At 44.4% G+C, this 20,881-nt stretch overlaps 1 protein-coding gene across 4 annotated transcripts in view, besides 4 other annotated features; it reads left to right on the plus strand.

Annotated features, from left to right (window-relative positions):
* CHST11 (carbohydrate sulfotransferase 11) overlaps positions 1-20,881 on the plus strand; it is a 305,067-nt gene that overhangs the window by 110,273 nt on the left and 173,913 nt on the right. The gene's annotated exons all lie outside the window — the stretch shown is intronic.
* Positions 2,750-2,839: an enhancer, noted in NCBI's record as "active region_6924". NCBI's record gives its function as "activates an Ori minimal core promoter by ATAC-STARR-seq in GM12878 lymphoblastoid cells {active_cell/tissue: GM12878}" and the evidence as "EXISTENCE:reporter gene assay evidence [ECO:0000049][PMID:35858748]".
* Positions 12,895-13,004: an enhancer, noted in NCBI's record as "active region_6925". NCBI's record gives its function as "activates an Ori minimal core promoter by ATAC-STARR-seq in GM12878 lymphoblastoid cells {active_cell/tissue: GM12878}" and the evidence as "EXISTENCE:reporter gene assay evidence [ECO:0000049][PMID:35858748]".
* Positions 15,673-15,722: an enhancer, noted in NCBI's record as "active region_6926". NCBI's record gives its function as "activates an Ori minimal core promoter by ATAC-STARR-seq in GM12878 lymphoblastoid cells {active_cell/tissue: GM12878}" and the evidence as "EXISTENCE:reporter gene assay evidence [ECO:0000049][PMID:35858748]".
* Positions 16,549-16,618: an enhancer, noted in NCBI's record as "active region_6927". NCBI's record gives its function as "activates an Ori minimal core promoter by ATAC-STARR-seq in GM12878 lymphoblastoid cells {active_cell/tissue: GM12878}" and the evidence as "EXISTENCE:reporter gene assay evidence [ECO:0000049][PMID:35858748]".

Here is a 20,881-nt window from a genome sequence, read left to right on the forward strand (position 1 = left end):
CACATCACCTGGAGCAGGCAGAATGCACCTGAGATGGAGGATGACTGACAAGTTGGAACATTTTTTGCTAGGCAAGGAGGTGCAGTTACAAAATATCTGCCTGCTTCAATCAGATCTGGCAGAAAATGCAATCCTTTCCTAGAGGGTAGAGAAACATTTGTTTGAAATGATTAGTTTCTTTTTGGGTAGAAAGGTGTTCCCTGGGTGGATGTTTTATGAGGCTTATGTCTGTCCCTCTCTCCCTGCCTCTTCCTTTATTTCCTTTTGTCCTTTAAGATCCAGCTCCCTTCTCCAGGAATCTTCCCCTCTGCTGCCTGCCCAAAGTACCTCTAGTTCCATTCCTGTTGAAACACTTAATTCTGTCCCCAGTGAGAGCCTCACAGCTCCACCTAGCATGAGCTCTCCTGTGAATTTTTTCCTGTGTACCTGACAATGTTGAGCAAGGATCCAGGGTCACACAGCCCATGAGCTGTGTGCAAAGTTTAGAGGTTGCCATGGTCTGAATGTTTGTGTACCCCCCACAAATTCAAGTGTTGAAACCTAATCCCTAATGCAATAGTATTGGGAGGTGATTAGGTCTTGAGGGCTCTGCCTTCATGAATGGAATTAGTGCCCTTATAAAAGAGGCCTGAGGGAGCCTCTTCACCCCTCTGCCATGTGAAGACACAGAAGGCATCACTGTTTGGTGCCTTGCCAGACACCGAATCTGCTATTGCTTTGATCTTGGACTTCCCAGCCTCCAGAACTGTGAGCAATACATTGATAAATTCCTTAGTCTAGGATATTTTGTTATAGCAGCAGGAGTAGACTAAGACAGAGATACCAAGTTTGTCTGTGGATTTGTGGCTTCCCAGGGCAGGTGAGCCTGGAGGAAGGACTCGTATGTGTGTTGTTTTTCTATGCCAGGAGTCAGAGGTTGGGCTGGGTCCCATGATCAGGGCTGCTGTTTAGGGCCGGGGTCTTCCTGTCTTCTGGCCTTGTGAATGGCCTGGTGCTTTGCCTGGCGAGAGGAGTCAGACTTTCCTCTCTTGCTGCAGTGTGTTGTTGCTGCTCTGCTGTCTAGCAGCTACCGTTGCCATGGAGCAGCAAGAGGTACTGTGCCAGTGGCCCCCCTCCCACTGTCCTTGCAACAGCTCCTCTGTCTGCCTCCTTAGCCCTCAGCCCTGCCATGGGATGGGAACAGAGGAGACTGCAGCAGCAAGTGTGGCTGATTTTAATTGATTTCTGCTTGGTACACATTTACTGATGAGCTGTAGGTCAGCAACTTCCAACAGAGCTGAGATGGGAAGAGAATGGCTGGCTGCCTAGTTGCTTCCTGGGACTTTGAATGGCATCTTGGCATTTTACAAATGTGATCATGGGAGCTGCTGATGGGACCTCCCCTAGAGATACAATGACAGCGGCACCTGTCATCTCTACTATTATCTATAATGTGGCTTGTATTTATCAACTCACTTAAACCTGCAGGCAGTATTATCTCCATTTTACAGATAAGGAAACTAAAGCTCAGAGAGGTTAAGTAACTTGACCAAATTAACACAGTGAAAAAGGGGCAGAGCTGGGATCCAATCCCAGGCAATATGGCTTTATAGTTCATGTTCTTAACCACTATTTTATACTGCCTCTGTATTTCTAAACTAAAAGTTGAAACCTACCATTGGAGATCTTTAAAAATAAAAGTAGGTCATTAGCTCTTTAAGACAGTCTATGTATGTAGCGACATTTATTAAATACTGACTGAATAAAGTACCTAAGAGTATGCCAGGTACTCTTCTAGTTGCTCTCATGTATTAGCTCATTAATCCCCACAACACTCCTGAGAGGTAAGTATTATTATTTTCATCCCCATTTTGCAGAGGAGAAAACTGAGGCATGGAGAGGGTTAGTATCCACGGTCACAGAGCCAGGATGTGACAGGACTGGAACCCAATTGTCTGGCTCTAGATTCTAAATAAAAGTGAAACTACTAGCTTATGAAACAAAATTTGACAAACCTCTCAACTTGGTTATTCTGACGGAAGAAATTCTAGGAATAGAGAACCCTCCTGGAGTTACCGTCTTAGTTACTAGAGCTCAGTTTGTGAGACTCCATAGCTTTTCAGAATATTTTATATTCTGAATAAAAAAATGCACACAACAAAAACAACCAGATACATTTGTTCAAAGGAACGATCCTCAGGATTTGTGGACAGTTCACTTCGAGACCAGTGTCTCTTACAATCTCAGTTTTCTGTCCTGAGCAGTTACCTTCAAAACTTAGGGGAAGAGCTCAGAGGATGTCTGAGTCCATTTTGCATCTTCATCACACAGAGCTCTGTGGCTGAGTGCATCATAGCTCTTAGGTACAGCAGACCTATTGGATTGATCAGCAGCAGAACTGTTATGCCTGGGGTAAGAACATAATGAAGTGGGGGAGATTCCAAGCTAGGAATTTGGGGCCCAGATTCTAGGGGATGCCTCCAGGGTTTTCAGGCTGCACCTTCTCCATTGATCTGCCCAGTTTATGGAGCCACAGGGGAATAAGTCCTGCTATTGAAGGTGATGTTGGTGCAGGTGGTATTGGGGTGGCACCATTGACCATGCTGCACTGGGAGTCCCCAACCCTGGGCTTTCCCTTTTGAGGTTCAGTGTAGGCTCTTGATTCTGCTTCATAATCTTACTTTACAGTTGGAGGAAGAGGACGGGTTGCGAAAGGAACTTCCTTTGCATGCGGTCAGAGTGCTGGGCCATCTGAACAGCCCCCTCCACGGTCTGCAACATTTCTACATTCTGATAGAAACAGTTAGTGGTCTTGACGTGTCTGACAACCTACAAAACCAACATATCCTGGGGTTTGATCTCTCTGGTGGTGTCAGAGGAGTCCAAAGTGAGCATCTGTAAGCTCGGCTGTGATCCAGCCTATTTGGGAGGATCTGTATTAAACCAGTGACTGCCCTCCCCACCCCACCTCTACTCCTAAAGGGTTCTGTTTCACAAGAGCCAGGCTCAGGTACCTGTTTTTCTCCACCCACACCTTGTTTATTCCTCTTTTCCTCACTGTCTTCGTTGTTGTTCTTGTTGTATATGAGAAAATCGACTCATTTTTAACATTTCGCAAGCCTCCCCCTCCCACTAGTAGGTGTGTGAGCAGCTGCAGATTTTACCGTCTGTAAACCTTCCACACTCCAGCAGATCCTCTTTCCACCTTTCAGCACTGTGCAGCCCACCCAAGCCACGTGCCTTCTTGGTGTCCCATCTATGCCTCTCTCTGAAATCAGGAACCAAGCTCACTGGGGATGAGCATGGCAGGACCTCAGGAAGAAGCCTACTCCTTTCCTTCCTGCAAGAAAATGTGCCAGGCATTTAGTATTAGGGATACAGAAGTGGATACACAAGATTCTTGCCTTCAAGCAACTCGGGAATTTAGAAGGAATAGCAACAGTATTAACAATTGCTACCATTTATTCAGTTTCAGTATATGTAAGCCACTGCACTTTTTTTTTTTTTTTGAGACTGAGTCTCGCTCTGTCACCCAGGCTAGAGTGCAGTGGCGTGATCTCTGCTCACTGCAGTCTCTCCCTCCCAAGTGCAAGTGAATCTCCTGCCTCAGCCTCCTGAGTAGCTGGGATTACAGGCGCCTGTCACCACACCCGGCTATTTTTTGTATTTTTAGTAGAGACGGAGTTTCGCCATGTTGACCAGGCTGGTCTCGAACTCCTGACTGCTGGTGATCCACCCACCTTGGCCTCCCAAAGTGCTGGAATTACAGGCGTGAGCCACCTCACCCAGCGCACTGTGCTTTTCCTGAATGATATCATCTAATAATTCTCAAAACCAGCCTGGAACGTAGGAATTCTTGTTTTCATCTTGGAGATGAGAAAATGGCAGAGAGGATAAGTTAATCAGCTGAGGTCACATAGCTAGCAGGTGGTGGACTCAGTAGTTTGTCTTTGGAGGACAGACAATTTTTTTTTTTTTTTTGAGATGGAGTTTTGCTCTTATTGCCCAGGCTGGAGTGCAATGGCCCGATCTCAGCTTACTGCAACCTCTGCCTCCTGGGTTCAAGCGATTCTCCCACTTCAGCCTCCCAAGTAGCCGGGATTACTGGCATGTGCCACCATGCCTGGCTAATTTTGTATTTTTAGTAGAGATGGGGTTTCCCCCTGTTGGTCAGGCTGGTCTTGATCTCCTGACCTCAGGTGATCCGCCCGCTTCGGCCTCCCAAAGTGCTGGGATTACAGGTCTGAGTCCTGCACCCGGCGACAGACAATATTATTAAGAACAATGTTGACTGAACGCCTCCAGCGTCCCACTTGTCAGTGCTTGTAGACACAGGCTTTCAGTCTCCTGAAGTGCTGTGGACACTTTGATCAGAGAGGGTCATGGCTTGTGAGGATCACCACACAAGAGGAAGTGGCAGCTCAGGTCTGATGATGAAGTTTGTCTGACTCCAGACCTTTCTGGCTCCTAACCCCTGGACCGTATCACCTCTCATCAAAACAGTGCAAGATGTATTATCAAATCCAGCCACTGGTTAGACTAGAAAAAGGAGCTATTAGGAGTGGTGACAGAGGGCATCCCTGTCTTGTGCCGGTTTTCAAAGGGACTGCTTCCAGTTTTTGATCATTCAGTATGATATTGGCTGTGGGTTTGTCATAGATAGCTCTTATTATTTTGAGATACGTCCCATCAATACCTAGTTTATTGAGAGTTTTTAGCATGAAGGGTTGTTGAATTTTGTCAAAGGCCTTTTCTGCATCTATTCAGATAATCATGTGGTTTTTGTCGTTGGTTCTGTTTATATGCTGGATTATGTTTATTGATTTGCATATGTTGAACCAGCCTTGCATCCCAGGGATGAAGCCCACTTGATCATGGTGGATAAGCTTTTTGATGTGCTGCTGGATTCGGTTTGCCAGTATTTTATTGAGGATTTTTGCATCGATGTTCATCAGGGATATTGGTCTAAAATTCTCTTTTTTTGTTGTGTCTCTGCCAGGCTTTGGTATCAGGATGATGCTGGCCTCATAAAATGAGTTAGGGAGGATTCCCTCTTTTTCTATTGATTGGAATAGTTTCAGAAGGAATGGTACCAGCTCCTCCTTGTACCTCTGGTAGAATTCGGCTGTGAATCCGTCTGGTCCTGGACTTTTTTTGGTTGGTAAGCTATTAAGTATTGCCTCAATTTCAGAGCCTGTTATTGGTCTATTCAGAGATTCAACTTCTTCCTGGTTTAGTCTTGGGAAGGTGTATGTGTCAAGGAATTTATCCATTTCTTCTAGAATTTCTAGTTTACTTGCATAGAGGTGTTTATAGTATTCTCTGATGATAGTGTGTATTTCTGTGGGATCGGTGGTGATATCCCCTTTATCATTTTTTATTGCATCTATTTGATTCTTCTCTCTTTTCTTCTTTATTAGTCTTGGTAGCAGTCTATCAATTTTGTTGATCTTTTTAAAAAAACTAGCTCCTGGATTCATTGATCTTTTGAAGGTTTTTTTGTGTCTCTGTCTCCTTCAGTTCTGCTCTGATCTTAGGTATTTCTTGCCTTCTGCTAGCTTTTGAATGTGTTTGCTCTTGCTTCTCTACTTTTTAATTGTGATGTTAGGGTGTCAGTTTTAGATCTTTATTGCTATTCAACATAGTGTTGGAAGTTCTGGCCAGGGCAATCAGGCAGGAGAAGGAAATAAAGGGTATTCAATTAGGAAAAGAGGAAGTCAAATTGTCCCTGTTTGCAGATGACATGATTGTATATCTAGAAAACCCCATCGTCTCAGCCCAAAATCTCCTTAAGCTGATAGGCAACTTCAGCAAAGTCTCAGGATACAAAATCAATGTGCAAAAATCACAAGCATTCTTATACACCAATAACAGACAGAGAGCCAAATCATGAGTGAACTCCCATTCACAATTGCTTCAAAGAGAATAAAATACCTAGGAATCCAACTTACAAGGATGTGAAGGACCTCTTCAAGGAGAACTACAAACCGCTGCTCAATGAAATAAAAGAGGATACAAACAAATGGAAGAACATTCCATGCTCATGGATAGGAAGAATCAATATCGTGAAAATGGCCATACTGCCCAAGGTAAGTTATAGATTCAGTGCCATCCCCATCAAGCTACCAATGACTTTCTTCACAGAATTGGAAAAAACTACTTTAAAGTTCATATGGAACCAAAAAAGAGCCCGCATTGCCAAGTCAATCCTAAGCCAAAAGAACAAAGCTGGAGGCATCACGCTACCTGACTTCAAACTATACTACAAGGCTACAGTAACCAAAACAGCATGGTGCTGGTACCAAAACAGAGATATAGACCAATGGAACAGAACAGAGCCCTCAGAAATAATGCCATACATCTACAACTATCTGATCTTTGACAAACCTGACAAAAGCAAGAAATGAGGAAATGATTCCCTATTTAATAAATGGTGCTGGGAAAACTGGCTAGCCACATGTAGAAAGCTAAAACTGGATCCCTTCCTTACACCTTATACAAAAATTAATTCAAGATGGATTAAAGACTTAAATGTTAGACCTAAAACCATAAAAACCCTAGAAGAAAACCTAGGCAATACCATTTAGGACATAGGCACAGGCAAAGACTTCATGTCTAAAACACCAAAAGCAATGGGAACAGAAGCCAAAATTGACAAATGGAATCTAATGAAACTAAAGACCTTCTGCACAGCAAAAGAAACTACTATCAGAGTGAACAGGCAACCTACAGAATGGGAGAAAATTTTTGCAATCTACTCATCTGACAGAGGGCTAATATCCAGAATCTACAATGAACTCAAACGAATTTACAAGAAAAAAACAAACAACCCCGTCAACAAGTGGGCGAAGGATATGAACAGACACTTCTCAAAAGAAGACATTTATGCAGCCAAAAGACACATGAAAAAATGCTCATCATCACTGGCCATCAGAGAAATGCAAATCAAAACCACAGTGAGATACCATCTCACACCAGTTAGAATGGCAATCATTAAAAAGTCCGGAAACAACAGGTGCTGGAGAGGATGTGGAGAAATAGGAACACTTTTACACTGTTGGTGGGAGTGTAAACTAGTTCAACCATTGTGGAAGTCAGTGTGGCGATTCCTCAGGGATCTAGAACTAGAAATACCATTTGACCCAGCCATCCCATTACTGGGTATATACCCAAAGGATTATAAATCATGCTGCTATAAAGACACATGCACACATGTTAATTGTGGCACTATTCGCAATAGGAAAGACTTGGAGCCAACCCAAATGTCCAACAATGATAGACTGGATTAAGAAAATGTGGCACATATACACCATGGAATACTATGCAGCCATAAAAAATGATGAGTTCATGTCCTTTGTAGGGACATGGATGAAGCTGGAAACCATCATTCTCAGCAAACTATCGCAAGGACAAAAAACCAAACACCGCATGTTCTCACTCATAGGTGGGAATTGAACAATGAGAACACTTGAACACAGGAAGGGGAACATCACACACTGGGGTCTGTTGTGGGGTGGGGGTTGGGGGAGGGATAGCATTAGGAGATATACCTAATGTAAATGACGAGTTAATGGGTGCAGCACACCAACATGGCACATGTATGCCTATGTAACAAACCTGTACATTGTGCACATGTACCCTAAAACTTAAAGTATAATTAAAAAAAAAGAAAAAAAGAAAGAAAAAGGAACTATTAAAAATGACTGTAGAGGCCGGGCGTGGTGACTCATGCCTGTAATCCCAGGTCTTTGGGAGGCCAAGGCAGGTGAATCATTTGAGTTCACTAGTTCAAGACCAGCCTGGCCAACATGATGAAACCCCATCTTTACTGAAAATACAAAGAAATGAGCCGGCGTGGTGGCATGCACCTGCAATTCCAGCTACTCAGGAGGCTGAGGCACAAGAATTACTTGAACCCAGGAGGCAGAGGTTGCAGTGAGCCGAGACTGTGCCACTGCACCCCAGCCTGAGTTACAGAGTGAGATCCTGTCTCAAAAAAAAAAAAAGAGTGTAGGACCACAGGCCCACAGGCATAAACTGGGATGATCCCAGGGTGACGGGGCTTTGTGTTTGCCCTAAACAGGATACACAATCCAGTAAACAAGTATTTTCTGAGTGTCTGCTGTGTGCCAGACAGTGTTCTTGCTATGAACAGAAAAGGCCCCAGGAGCTTGCCATTAAGGGATGCAGGAGGAACTGGGGACAGGGATGAGGCCATGTCAGGTGGGGACAGTGCTCTGAGGAAGACATGAAAGGTAGTGGCATTGCAGGGATGAGGGTGCCAGGAAGGCCTCTGCGAGTCCTCTGTGATAATCCGGGTGAAGGGGGTCTTAACTTAGACAACTGATAGGCAAAGAAAGGCCTGGGAGCAGGAACATCTGTCCGTTTGAAGGAAGTTTCCTGGGTGTGTTCTGAGTGAGCTGCTGAGTGGCCAGCAGGTGCTGTTCTGTGGGGTTGGGTGGAGTGCAGGTTGCAGCCTGGCCTGCATGAGCCAGCTGTCAGGGTAAAGGATGCCGAGCCACAGAGTGGTCCTCTTCTGAAGGAGGCTGTTCTGCAGGCAACAGGTTTGGAGGCCACTGCTTCGTCAGAAGGGCCCGTCCTGCCCTTTCCTACTTCGGCAGTGCTCAGAAATTGCTTATCGGGGTATTCCTTGGTCTCTGCCTGGGGAGTAGAGGAACTCAACATTGTAAATAAAAGGGTTAGCTTCTTCAAAATTCATTCTTGTCTTCTATTGTTAGAAACCAAAGCTCATGCACGAATGCCACCCACCCTGTGATTACAAACCATGGCCCTCGGGTGGGTGGGTGGCATGTGTGCATGAGCTTTGGTCTCTAAAATAGAAGTGTGAGAACTGTTCTCTCTTATGCCTGTTCCCTCCCAAGTACAGTATATCCATGTCAACTTACTCACAGGCGTGATGGTGGTTCACGTTAAGTATTCACTGTGCTTCTCAGTGGCAGGAGAGCTTTTCTTGCCTTAGCCTACTGTGTCCTCCCAGGAACTCTATGAACTAAGTACTGTGTTTATTCCTGCTTTCAAGATGTGGAAGCTGAGACCCAGAGAGGTGAAACCTAAGGAGCCCAAGGTCACACGCTTGGAAGAACAGGGGCTGGAATCCCTGACACAGTGGGCCTAGCGGAAGCCAGGGCAGGTATTAGCAGGCCCATTTTGCAGAGGGGAAGACTGAGGTGCAGTGATGCAAAATGTGTGGTGGAGGGCTGGGCCTGGAATCTGGGAGTTCTGGTTCCGGGTGACCGTCCACTAGAAAGGGAAAGGTGGCAGAACCATATATATGAGCCTGTTACTTGTTCAAGGACTTGGTCAGGGGCCTCACAGAACTTGGAAAAGAGCAACGGACTCTTCAGAGAAGTTCTTCAGAGAAGAGCTCTGAACTGGAGAGCAAGAGCTGGGAGCACCTCCCATGGCTGCAGTCTCTGGTCATTTCCAAAGCCCAGGAGAAGGCTGCATTTGGTCAACCACCCACTTCCATTTAGCCAGGGCCTTTAAATCATTCCCAAATCCTTAAAAATCACCTGGAATGTGTTTAAAAGGGCAGATTTCTGGGCCTCGAGATAGGCCTATTGAATCCGGATCTGGATTTTGGGGGCCTAGGAATCTGCATTGACACCACTCCAGGCTGCGCTGAGGGACATTCACGTTCCTCCAACATTCATGTTGCCATTAAGGGATGGAGGAGGAACTGGGGACAGGGATGAGGCCATGTCGGGTGGGGACAGTGCTCTGAGGAAGACATTCAGGGTGGTGGCATTGCAGGGGTGAGGGTGCCAGGAACATTCATATTGGAGAATCCCTGGACCTCGGTACTAAGACTCCAGAGGGGTGGAAATGACTGTGGGTTCAGTCTAAGGCTCCAGGTGGGGTGCTTCAACAAAAGACCATGGTCACTCAGGGCCAGGGCAAAGGTTATTATCAGCAGCCCCAGACACTTTGGGGACGTGCTGGAAATATCTGCCTGACAGAGTGTTTCTGTTTTGCACCGGTATGATTCGTGTATCTGAGGGCTGCAGCCCTTCATTTTTTTTTTTTTTTTTTTTTTTTTTTTGGTATTTAAGAAAATGGTAAAATACACATAACATAAAATTTACCATTTTAACCATTTTTAGTGTACAGTTCAGTGGCATGAAGTACATTCACGTTGTGTTCATGCAGCCCAAACTTGAGAGCTCTTTTTGGAACACTCCAGGAAAGAAGGGCTGTGTACACACTAGGTGCTTAATAAGTGCTTTCAGATGACAGTGGGGTGGTGGGATTATCGGGGTGGTAGGCTACATTATCATGGATTAAGTAAGCATTCCCACTCTGTACTTTCTTAGGCAACTTAACTTCAGTCTGTAATGCTGAGGCAGACACTAGTGAGCTACGTTTAACACTTCATTTCTATTTCTGGGTGAAGCAGGATGATGAGTTCATTGTCTGGTCAATGCCAAGGGCAACTTCCCCTGCTTTCCTAGGCTCCCATGGCAGAATAGAGGATATCTGTGAAAAATCCAAATTTTCCTCCTATGTGTGTGTCGGGTAAGGGCAGCCCACAGTTATGACTGGGGCTCCAGTTTCAAATGCCGCTGACTCAAGACCGATCTGGTTGAGAACCAAACAAATGGGCCTTTTTATACTGAAGAGGAGATTTTTCTTACCACGTGTCAACAAAAGATCTGTAGACAATCTTGTTATACATTTCACACTGCTGACTTCATAAGTACAACAGCACTCACGACCCCTTTACATTTTTTGGTGTATTTGGGTTTATTTCTGTGGTTACCATGCACTGAGGGAAGTCCACAAAAGCCAGCCTGTTCAGGGCTGGAGCACGGTGCCAGTGGAATTTTGGTGAACTTCACAGCGGTAGAAGGGAGTGGACTGGGAGGTGCAGAAGTAGTGAATTTTGCAGCCGGAAGGAATCTTATATAGACTAAATCCCCCCTTATTTATAGATGAGGATATCAAGACCCAGCAACAGGGGGTGGTTCTGACCTGAGGTCACATCGCTGGTTAGGATCTCAGCCCATCACTGACTTCCTGGTCTCCAGACCCATTGACTTGCCACTGCTCGGATCTTCCCAGTCGTTGAACCCCGAGTTCCGTTGAACTAGATGCCTTGTAATATAATACACCTAACGATAAGTTTTCCTGAATTGAATATTCTTCCGAAAATCATTTATAGATTTGGTGACTTCTCCATTTTTCTTTTCCTGCATTTGGGTAGAATCAATCTTTGGCTCTGAGCAGATCTTTCTGTTTGAGTGTCTTTCCTAAGATCTTTATCTTTCTGGTTGCATTTTCAGAACCCCCTGCCTCTATTGTGATGAGAGCGCTGGGTCCGTTGGCTGTCTCTCTGGGATGACAGCACGAGTTGAAAAGTGGAGAATTGAGTCATCGGCTTTCTGGCGTGGTTTATTCTGTCCCAGAATCCCTAAGTCCTGTCTGATACTATTTAGTCACTGTCCTTGCAGTGTGAAAAGTGATTCACATGTAAGCCATGGAAAGCGCTCAGCAAGCTCTCTGAGACAGGAATTCTTGAGGAGGCAAAAGCCAACAGTGTTAATTGGAGATAGAGAGATAGGAATTCTTGAGGAGGCTGTGAAAAGCCAACAGTGTTAATTGGAGATAGACTGCCATGTGAGAGCCAAACCCCTCATGTTCTCAGGTAAAAGCTAGGAAAATGTTAGGCTCTTGTGACATGCAGTTGTCTCAGCTTCAAAGCTGGATTAATTAACTCACGTAATGCAAAATGTTTGTTGAGGGCCTATTTTGGGCCTGGTCCTACTCAAAGTAGCAACAAAAAGCAACTTGATGCTGTCTTTGACCAGAAGAAGCCATGAGAAGGTGCCCAGGTACTTATCAAAGGGCTTGGTTACATGCCCCTGTTTCCTTGTTACCCTTAAGCAATGAGAGAGAGATGCTTGAAGAAGAGCAGAAGCTCTGCTTGCTCTTTAAGCTTGGCGAGGGTTGGGTCTGTTTCCCCTCCTCCATTCCTGGGCTCCTAGTACCATGTGGTTGCTCAGTGAATATCTGCTCTTTCTTTTTAGCCTTCATGTGGGAGGCAGTTGTTGTGTAGAGGGAATAAGACTAGACTTGGGTCCAATTTACCTGGGTTGAAGTCTTTGCCCCACCACTTTGCTCTTGTCCCTGGACAAGTCACTTGATGTTGCCCAGCCTCCATTTTTGTTGCATCAATAGAGTGGAGATGCCAGCGATTGATCTTGTGACCTTGGGGGCATCACTTAACCTCCCTGACCTTGGATTTCTCATCTTTAAAATGAGGGACACTGAAGATGAGTGTGGAGCACATGTCGGAACAGACAATGAAACAGGCATTCGTTATTATCATTCCCATGTCAGAAATGGGCTACTATCTTACTGTTTTATCTCAAATGTAATTTCAAGAGAATGATACATGGTAACGTGGGTAACTTTCATTTGTCAATGTGTGGATGCGCCGCCCCTCTCCCCGGGGTGTATTCCTCAGCAGCCCGGCAGGGGAGGGCACATCCACACATTGCCTGCTTTAAATCTGTTGCCCGCTCTAATTGTGTAGACCCACTACACCCAACCAGCTTGTATCCCACAGATGGAAGGTAATTTGAATAACTGTTTAAGCCAAAATGTAATTGGAGATAAAAGCTAAATGTCTAAGGTCTAGCAGTATCAAGATGACCAGAAGTGATGCATTGGATCCTCTGCTGCTTCTGAATCATCTGGGTTAATTACCGTACTCTCCACCAGCTTTGGTCATCAAGGAGCACACAGAATCATTGCTTATAATTGAAGACTGTGGACAATGATCACATAAGATCATCCCTAAGTTACCAGTCCCTTTTATTCTAATGGACATTTGAAGAAAAAGGCCTGAACTTTCAATAAAAGCGTCGTCTTTTTGCTTTCAAGGCCCTTCAGCTAGTTCATTAGGGGATTGAAGCCAGACATCATTTGTGACTTTCCCCCTACATTTGGGGAATGGGGGATAGAATATCTTTTGTGGTTTTTGTTTACAAGAAGGAAGATTTCAGGCTTGAGCTGGAGTACGAAAGGAAATTGAAACTAAAGATTGGGTTCTGGATTTGACTAAAGTTTCTAATATTGTTCAGCCACAATAAAGCCAAAAGCGTTCACTGTATGCTCTGGCTGATATAGTAAAGCATGGGCATTTAAGAAAAGGGTTAATTAGGTCAATTAGATTAGATGTTAGGCTGCCTGTTTCTAAATACCATGGGATGTAATTTATTTCAGTGGAGCTTTAAGCCCTCATGCATGGTAGACATGTCGATTATGGATAAATTAAAGGCAAAATAAATGAATATTCAGTATGTCAGACACAATCAGAGAATGGTAGAAAAATATGTAACTTAACTTTCAACCTCTATAACAGCTAGGATTGTGCCCCATGCAAAGCTTCCTGGAAGTTTGGGAGCCCAATTTTTTCTCTCTACTTGTTGTAATTTACTTCTAGGATATAGCTGGGCCAGGAGGATTTTGTCAAGAAATGGGTGCTCAGTCTTCTGAGGCTCCATACTTCAGTTGGAAGGAAGGGGAATTTTCATATTTCTTGTTTTCTTTTTTTGTAGAGACGGGGTTTCAAGTCCAGGCTGGTCTTGAACTCCTGGCCTCAAGCAATCCTCCTGCCTTGGCTTCCCAAAGTGCTGGGATTAAAAGCATGAGCCACTGCACCTAGCCTGGGTTTTCATATTTCTTATAATTGTCTCAGAACTTTCAGTTCCAATACACTCATCGTGAAAAGCAAGTGAAGCCTTGAATATTGATGTTTATTGAGATCAGGACAAAGTGAAAGGCAAAAATCTGAGTGCCTTTTCTGCCTTTTCTGGTGTTTTTCTGGCCCTCCTGTTCTGTCCTGATTTCTGTCCCTGAACTCCTGACCTTGGACATGCAGGAGCTACTTCTCCCATCAGCCTTTTCTGAGTAGAACCTCTGATAAATGGATGCTTCTTGCATCCTTATCCTTGAGGACTTTGGACTCTGATCCCAAGGGTGTTGGCCTTCATTAGCTTCAGGGTGTTGACTTGCATTAGCTTCTGCTGGGGGAACAACCTCAAGCTTGGCCAGGTGGCAGATATCTGGAAGTCTTCATGACATACTAATATTTGTTGAGATATTAGTACTATCTATGTTTATATATGTATATCTGTGTTTATGATTCAAGCACAGCTGTGTCAACTGTTTAACAAAGTTTTATGGGAGAAAGCTTGATAATTGAGGAAAATTTATCCCTATTTATTTATTTGAACCACAACTTCTTGTAGTTTTTCAGACTTTGAGAAAGCTGGTTATGATTTGATGTAGTGGCCAAACATTGTCGAGTGACTGGAAACCGTTGATTTAAAGGAACACTGCCTGGGATTTCTGGCCTCAGTGAGGGCTGAGGCAGTTATTTGGTGGGCAGGAGGGTGGGGAGGGTCTTTCTGGGTACTGCTGAAGACCCACTACCTCTGTCTAACCTGACAGAGACTTCCCCAGCTGTTCATGACATCCAGGGCAGTGACCTTGGCTGTGTGAGGAGTGGCTCGGGCACAGGTGGTCTCAAAGGGCCTGTTACCCTGGAGCTGCCTCCCTGCATCTTAGCAAGCCTCAGAAGGCACAGGGCATTTTGATGCTGTGGCACTTTGCCATTTGAATTTGAGGAGATTTGTCTTGGCTTGGAAAACAAAGCATTCAACTTGTAGCAAACTAAAAGAAAAAGGAAGAGAAGTTGAGAACAAACACTCCATCCAGGAGTTTGGGCTTTGAGATGGGGATGGGGATGGGACGGAGGGAGGTGGAAAGGAAGTAAGGGATGCACTACGTCATTATCGTCAGCATCATCATTCTATCCTTATTTCATCCAGTCTAAGAAGACTATGGTTGTAGGATGCATCCTTATTTGCGAGAAATTGAAATATGGAAATGTGCGCCTGAGAGTTGTGGCAGCCAATGCACTCAGTGCTTTCCGCTCATGTCCTCCTCTTAATAACTTTATCAGGCAGGTTCTCTCATTATTTCCATCTTATTGGTGAGCAAACTGAGATGCAGGGGGTTAAGAAGCTTGCAGAAGATCACTCTGCTGGCCAGTGGAGGGGCCAGGATTTGAGGCAGGAATTCTAACACCCTTAGAGCCTACCCTTGGCTACAGTGCTCTGCTCCTGAGCAATGAAATCAGCGTTGGGGTAGTCATGTGTGTGTGCGTGTGTTTGTGCTTGAAGACTTTGATGTCAGCATTTTGACCAGATGTGTCAGACAGATATGTTGCCCCTGCCCCATCACCTTTACTGAGTTACTTAAACCCCAGGCCCCTGTTTTCATGTTATTATCTTTACTAAGGGATGCAACTGGAGTTTAAGTTCTTTCTGTGCATTTCACGTCCCCTCTGCACGCCCTTCTCATGGGGCCAATCACTGTTGGGAACACTCAGAGATAATAAACATTTCCCTGCTGTATCATCCTAGAGGATCTGTCATTTATTAACTGTGTACCGTTGGCAAGAACCTCTCTGCACTTGTTTCCTCATCTGTATGATAGAAATAATACATCTCGGGATGGTAGTGAGGAAGGGAGGGTTATATAAAATGACTTCCACTGAAGTGCCTGCCTGGCATTCAGCATTGTATAGAGCCGGAACTCCAAATGTCTTCTGCTTGTACCTGTTTTCCTTCTCCCCAAGTCACCCAGCTCACAGGTGGCCGCAAGCTCTGAACTGGAACTGTTTCTAACACATCTGGCTGCTTCCCCTAGAGACAGACATGCAAATAGCTTCATATCCTCTTGTAGCTGTAACCATTTGCAGACACCTTATTGTCTTACAGCTTTTTAATTTGCCTGCACAAATAGACCTGCCTGGCCAACTTGGAGGGAATTTTAATATCTAAGTGCGGCCACATACATATGTGTTGTATACTGGGGCCATGCCTTCCTGCTTATCAAGGCAACAGAAATCTTGTACATGGTTTTCTTACTTTCTGGATAAAGATGGGACCTTGTCTCTCCATTTTGTCATAACACTTTTTTATCTTTACTTTAAGATGAAACCCTCCTTAAAATTGTGAGTGTTTCCCTGGATTTCCCTGGGGAGAAACCACTACAGTGGCTTTGATTCTTTTTCCCCTCCTTGGGATCATTCTGATCCCATTCCATATCTTTGGAGGGTCTATGGAATGGGGCTCAGCTTTGCATCTTGGATTCACAAGAAGGGAAGCAGGGAGTGAGGGAGATTGGGGGACCGTGGGCGTGTTTCATCAGATGCAGCTCCAATGGCCTTTTCCCTCTGACCATATTTCAACAACCACACTTGACACACAGCCTAGCCTCCCCCAAAGCTCACGTGTGCACCCTCTGCCCCTGTCTGGGGCCTCCCCTATTCATTTTCAGATCGATTCTGACACCTGCTTTTATCTCCCTTACCCCTTCAGCACTTCTTGATGGCAGCAACTTAAGTTATACTTAAGCATCCTATATTCCTAAAATATGCAGAAATTAAACAAATGCCTTGTGCTCTCAGTTTTCAAAGATCTCTCTCTTTTTTTTGAGGATGGAGTCTCACTCTGTCGCCCAGGCTGGAGTGTAGTGGCGAGATCTCAGCTCACTGCAACCTCTGCCTCCTGGGTTCAAGCAAGTCTCCTGCCTCAGCCTTCTGAGTAGCTGGGATTACAGGCACCTGCCACCACACCCAGCTAATTTTTGTATTTTTAGTAGAGATGGGGTTTCACCATGTTAACCGGGCTGGTCCCAAACTCCCGACCTCAAGTGATCCGCCCTCCTCGGCCTCCCAAAGTGCTGGGATTACAGGCGTGAGCCACCGCACCCCGTCCAAAGATCCCTTGAGTAAAAATATTCACATCAGTGGCTGCAGATAGATAATTGTTTGGTTTTTGTTGGGGAAATTCCAACTCTTTGTTTAGAACTTGCCTGATTTTCAGTAGCATCTCTAACACTTAGAGTTGATTTGGATCTGGCATTATGTTGAGTCATCATTTTTAGTGGGAAGAATACTATACAATGTGAAAGAAAGTGTAAAAAGTACTCTATTTTAACAAAGTTGTTTTCTTTCTCTTTCTTCTTTTTTTTTTTTTTTCACAGCGTCTTACTCTGTCACCCAGGGTGGAGTGCAGTGGTAGAATCTACGCTCACTGCAACCTCTGCCTCCCGGGTTCAAGCGCTTCTTATGCCTCAGCCTCCCCAGTAGCTGGGACTACGGGTATATGCCACCATGCCTGGCTAATTTTTGTATTTTTAGTAGAGATGGGGTTTTACCACGTTAGCCAGACTGGTCTTGAACTCCTGACCTCAGCTGATCCCCCTTCCTCAGCCTCCCAAAGTGCTGGGATTACAGGCGTGAGCCACCATGCCCTGCCTGTTTTCACTTTCATATGCTGTCTTTTATATGTGTATGTGTGTTTACACAACCAAGGTCCCGACCCACATAATATTTTGAATTCTGTTGCTTTAACTTAAAGCAGCGGTTTAAGTGGTTAATTTAAACTCCATTTTCATGTCTTCATGTTATTTTAATAACAGTAGCATTTTTTGATTGGTCCAAGATTATAGGAATAATTTCATAAATGATAGTTCATATCCTAGAGTGTTTCCAATTTTTGGCCACTAGAAGGGAAATTCTATAGCAAACATCTTTGCGCGTCCATCTTTTAGTTTCTGTTGAATTAATCCCTCGGTGTAATTTCCCAAGAGGGAAATTGCTGGATTTGAAGGGTGTAAACATCATCATGGCTCCAGTAATGCAGTGCACGTGGGGAGATTTTTAAAATCAGTGTTCTCTCTGTTGGCATCTTGTGCCAGAAAAATGTCAGAAGAAAATAATGCGAATGAACAATTAAAAAGCTAATCCCCTCTTTAACTCTTAAAAATATGGAAATGAAATAGGGGTTTTGGTCCATGGATGCTGCCTGGGAAGCCCCAGCTCTGTTACTGCAGGCATGCCTTTCCTTGGGGGAGAGATCGTCTTTCCAGCTATCTTTGCTTCTGGAGAAAAGATGCTCACAGTACTTGTTCAACAGCCGCACTTCAGCCTCCTGCACTTGCCTCGTACTCACCTTCAGCAATGCCAAAGCGCTTAGGCCTCCAGCATACATCATCAACGCCTTCTGTCTGTTAACTGTGCAACAGCTCCTCTCTGATTTGTGAAATAATTGTGTGTCCACTGATTAATGTGTATGTTTTAAAACAGTGAGATTTGGGTTGGAATAGAAGAGGGTTTTGAGATACTCTCAAATAATTAGAAAGACAAGGGAGTGGACAATTAGAAATGGGAACTAATTATGGCTTATTGAGCACTTACCTTGGGCCAGGCCCTGCTCGAAACACGTGACATGGATGAACTTATTCAGTCCCCACAACAACTCTACTAGGTAGGCAAATTGTTCTCCCCATTTTATAGGTGAGATAACTGAGGCCAAGAGATTGAGTATATTGTCAAGGACACACAAGATGGGAACCCATGTGTATCAGTTTGCTAGGGCTGCCATGACAAATTCCCACACACTGGGTGGCTTTAAACCACAGAAATTTGTTCTCCCATGGTTCTAAAGGGAGACCAGAGGTCCAAAATCAAGGTGTCAGCAGGGCCGTGTTCCCTCTGAAGGCCCTAGGGAAGAATCCCTCCTTGCCTCTTCCTGGCTTCTGGTGGCTCCCAGCAATCCTAGGCATGTCCTGGCCTGTAGCTGCATCACTTGAATCTCTGCCTCTGTCTTCCATGGCCCTCTTCCCTGTGTGTGTCTCTGTGGGTCCCCTCCTCTTCTCATAAGGACACTAGTCTGACCTCACTTAATTTAACTCATTATATCTGCAAAGACTCTATTTCCGGAGGTCACCTTCTGAGGTTCCCAGTGGATATGTATTTGGAAGGGACACTGTGCAATCCACTATATCACGGTCATAGCACGTCACAGTGGATTGTACACTGCAATCCATGGTTGCAGGTCCCTAGTGGATATGAATTTTGGAGGGACACTGTGCAGTCCACTGTACCATGGTCATAGCCAGGACCTGTTCCTGCCTTCTAGGACAAGAGTGGAGAAAAGGGAAAGAAAGCAGAAGCCTGGGTAGGCTCAGGGTTTGCCCAGGTGCTCTTGAGATGGACAAAGAATGGGCGAAAATCCCTTGGGCTTTTAAAAGGTTGTGTGGCCGGGAGGGACTGGAGCCCTGGGCGAGATGCCTGCCTGAGTGAGGTGGGGTTGCTGGGCACAGTCAGACTGTGTGAAGACTGTGTGAGTGTGAGATTATCCTGGGCAGAACTAAACAGCTTTCTGGACTCAAGGGGAGGAGGCAGGTTTGGAGTTAATGCCCCGCCATGCTTGAGTAGCTTAAATAAAGGTTACCTGGACTATTTCCTTTCTCCAGCAGCTACGTTACTCTGTCTCTGAAGCCATGGGGGAACCCCAGAGGCAGACATCAGCGTGTCCAGGTTGTAAAATCAGACTTGGAGCGCCAGGCAGGGAAGAAAGCACTTCGGCATGTTTTCTGCCTCACTGCAAAATAAATGTATAAGCATTCCAGGGAAACTGCAGGGAGAGGGGAACATTCTTCAGCAGGCAAGGAAGGATAAATGCAAAGTAAACGTATAAGGCTTATAATTACTCATTTGAAGTGTGTAAAATGTAATTAATATGATCTGTGTTGCAGTGCTGTCTCTCTTGTTTTATTTAAGTGAACATAAAATGTAATTTATGAGGACTTCCCCAGGTTAACTGCCAATATCAATTCCTTGAACTGCGTTTTTTCCACAGCGTCTTAAGTTTCTCAGCAATAAAGTTCTTCTACTACTGTGGGGGTTTTCAGGGACAATTTATGCTGAGGTTTGGGGTAGGGGCTGGTTCTCCTTTACCCCAGACACTCACACCCTCCGCCCCTTAGGCCAGCCTGAAGATGCCAATTCCTATCAGTTATCTTCTCTGTTAATGTGAGGTCTTTTTCATGTCACTGTGATGACAGTGGTATACAGAAAAGGCTTCTAATAAAATTAAACTCACAAATCTAGGAAGCTACCTTTAAATTTCGAATCTTACTCTTCTATTCATAAGCCTTCAACAGATACATTTAGGGTGGCCTTTAATTAATATTTGGTCCTTTAACACACTTAATCTTCTGATAACAATTTAAATTGCATCTAAAATGTCATCTATTTACAGTTATTTTTGAATACTTCATTTGCCCAATTAATGAACAAGCATTTATTTATTCATTTGTTTATTTATTTTGAGATAGGGTCTCAAGCGGTTGCCCAGACTAGAGTGCAGTGGCAGGATCATGGCTCACTGCAGCCTCAACCTCCTGGGCTCAAGCTGTCCTCCCACTTCAGCCTCCCCAGTGGCTGGGACTACAGGCGTGCACCACCACACCTTGGTGGTGTTTGTATTTTTTGTAGAGATGGGGTTTTGTCCTGTTGCCCAGGCAGGTCTCGAACACCTGGGCTCAAGCAATCCACCCGCCTTAGCCTTCCAAAGTGCTGGGATTACATGTGTTCACCATCCTGCCCGGCTCAAGTATTTACATAATAGAAATCTAATGCCTCAAACTTAGAAATATGGTGAATCTTAAGATTTATTTATTTATTTATTTATTTATTTATTTATTTATTGTTTCAGACTCTTCAATTCGTTAGAGATTAAGTTTGTTTTTTGTTTTTTGTTTTTTTTTTTTGAGATGGAGTCTCACTCTGTCACCCGGGCTGGAGGAGATTAGGTTTTTTAAAATGCTCTAGTATTATATATAAACTTAGATTTCAGCTTAAAATTTCAAATCAAATAAATTGTTCAATTAAGTCTTTCATATTGTATTGCAATGTAGATCTATTCAAAGAGGCCAAAATCTTGAAAATATTAATATTATGGGTTGATTCTTAAACATCTCTATACTTATTTTAAAAACAGTTTTATTGAAATAC

This window comes from Homo sapiens, chromosome 12 (assembly GCF_000001405.40).
Source record: "Homo sapiens chromosome 12, GRCh38.p14 Primary Assembly".
Lineage (NCBI taxonomy): Eukaryota > Metazoa > Chordata > Mammalia > Primates > Hominidae > Homo > Homo sapiens.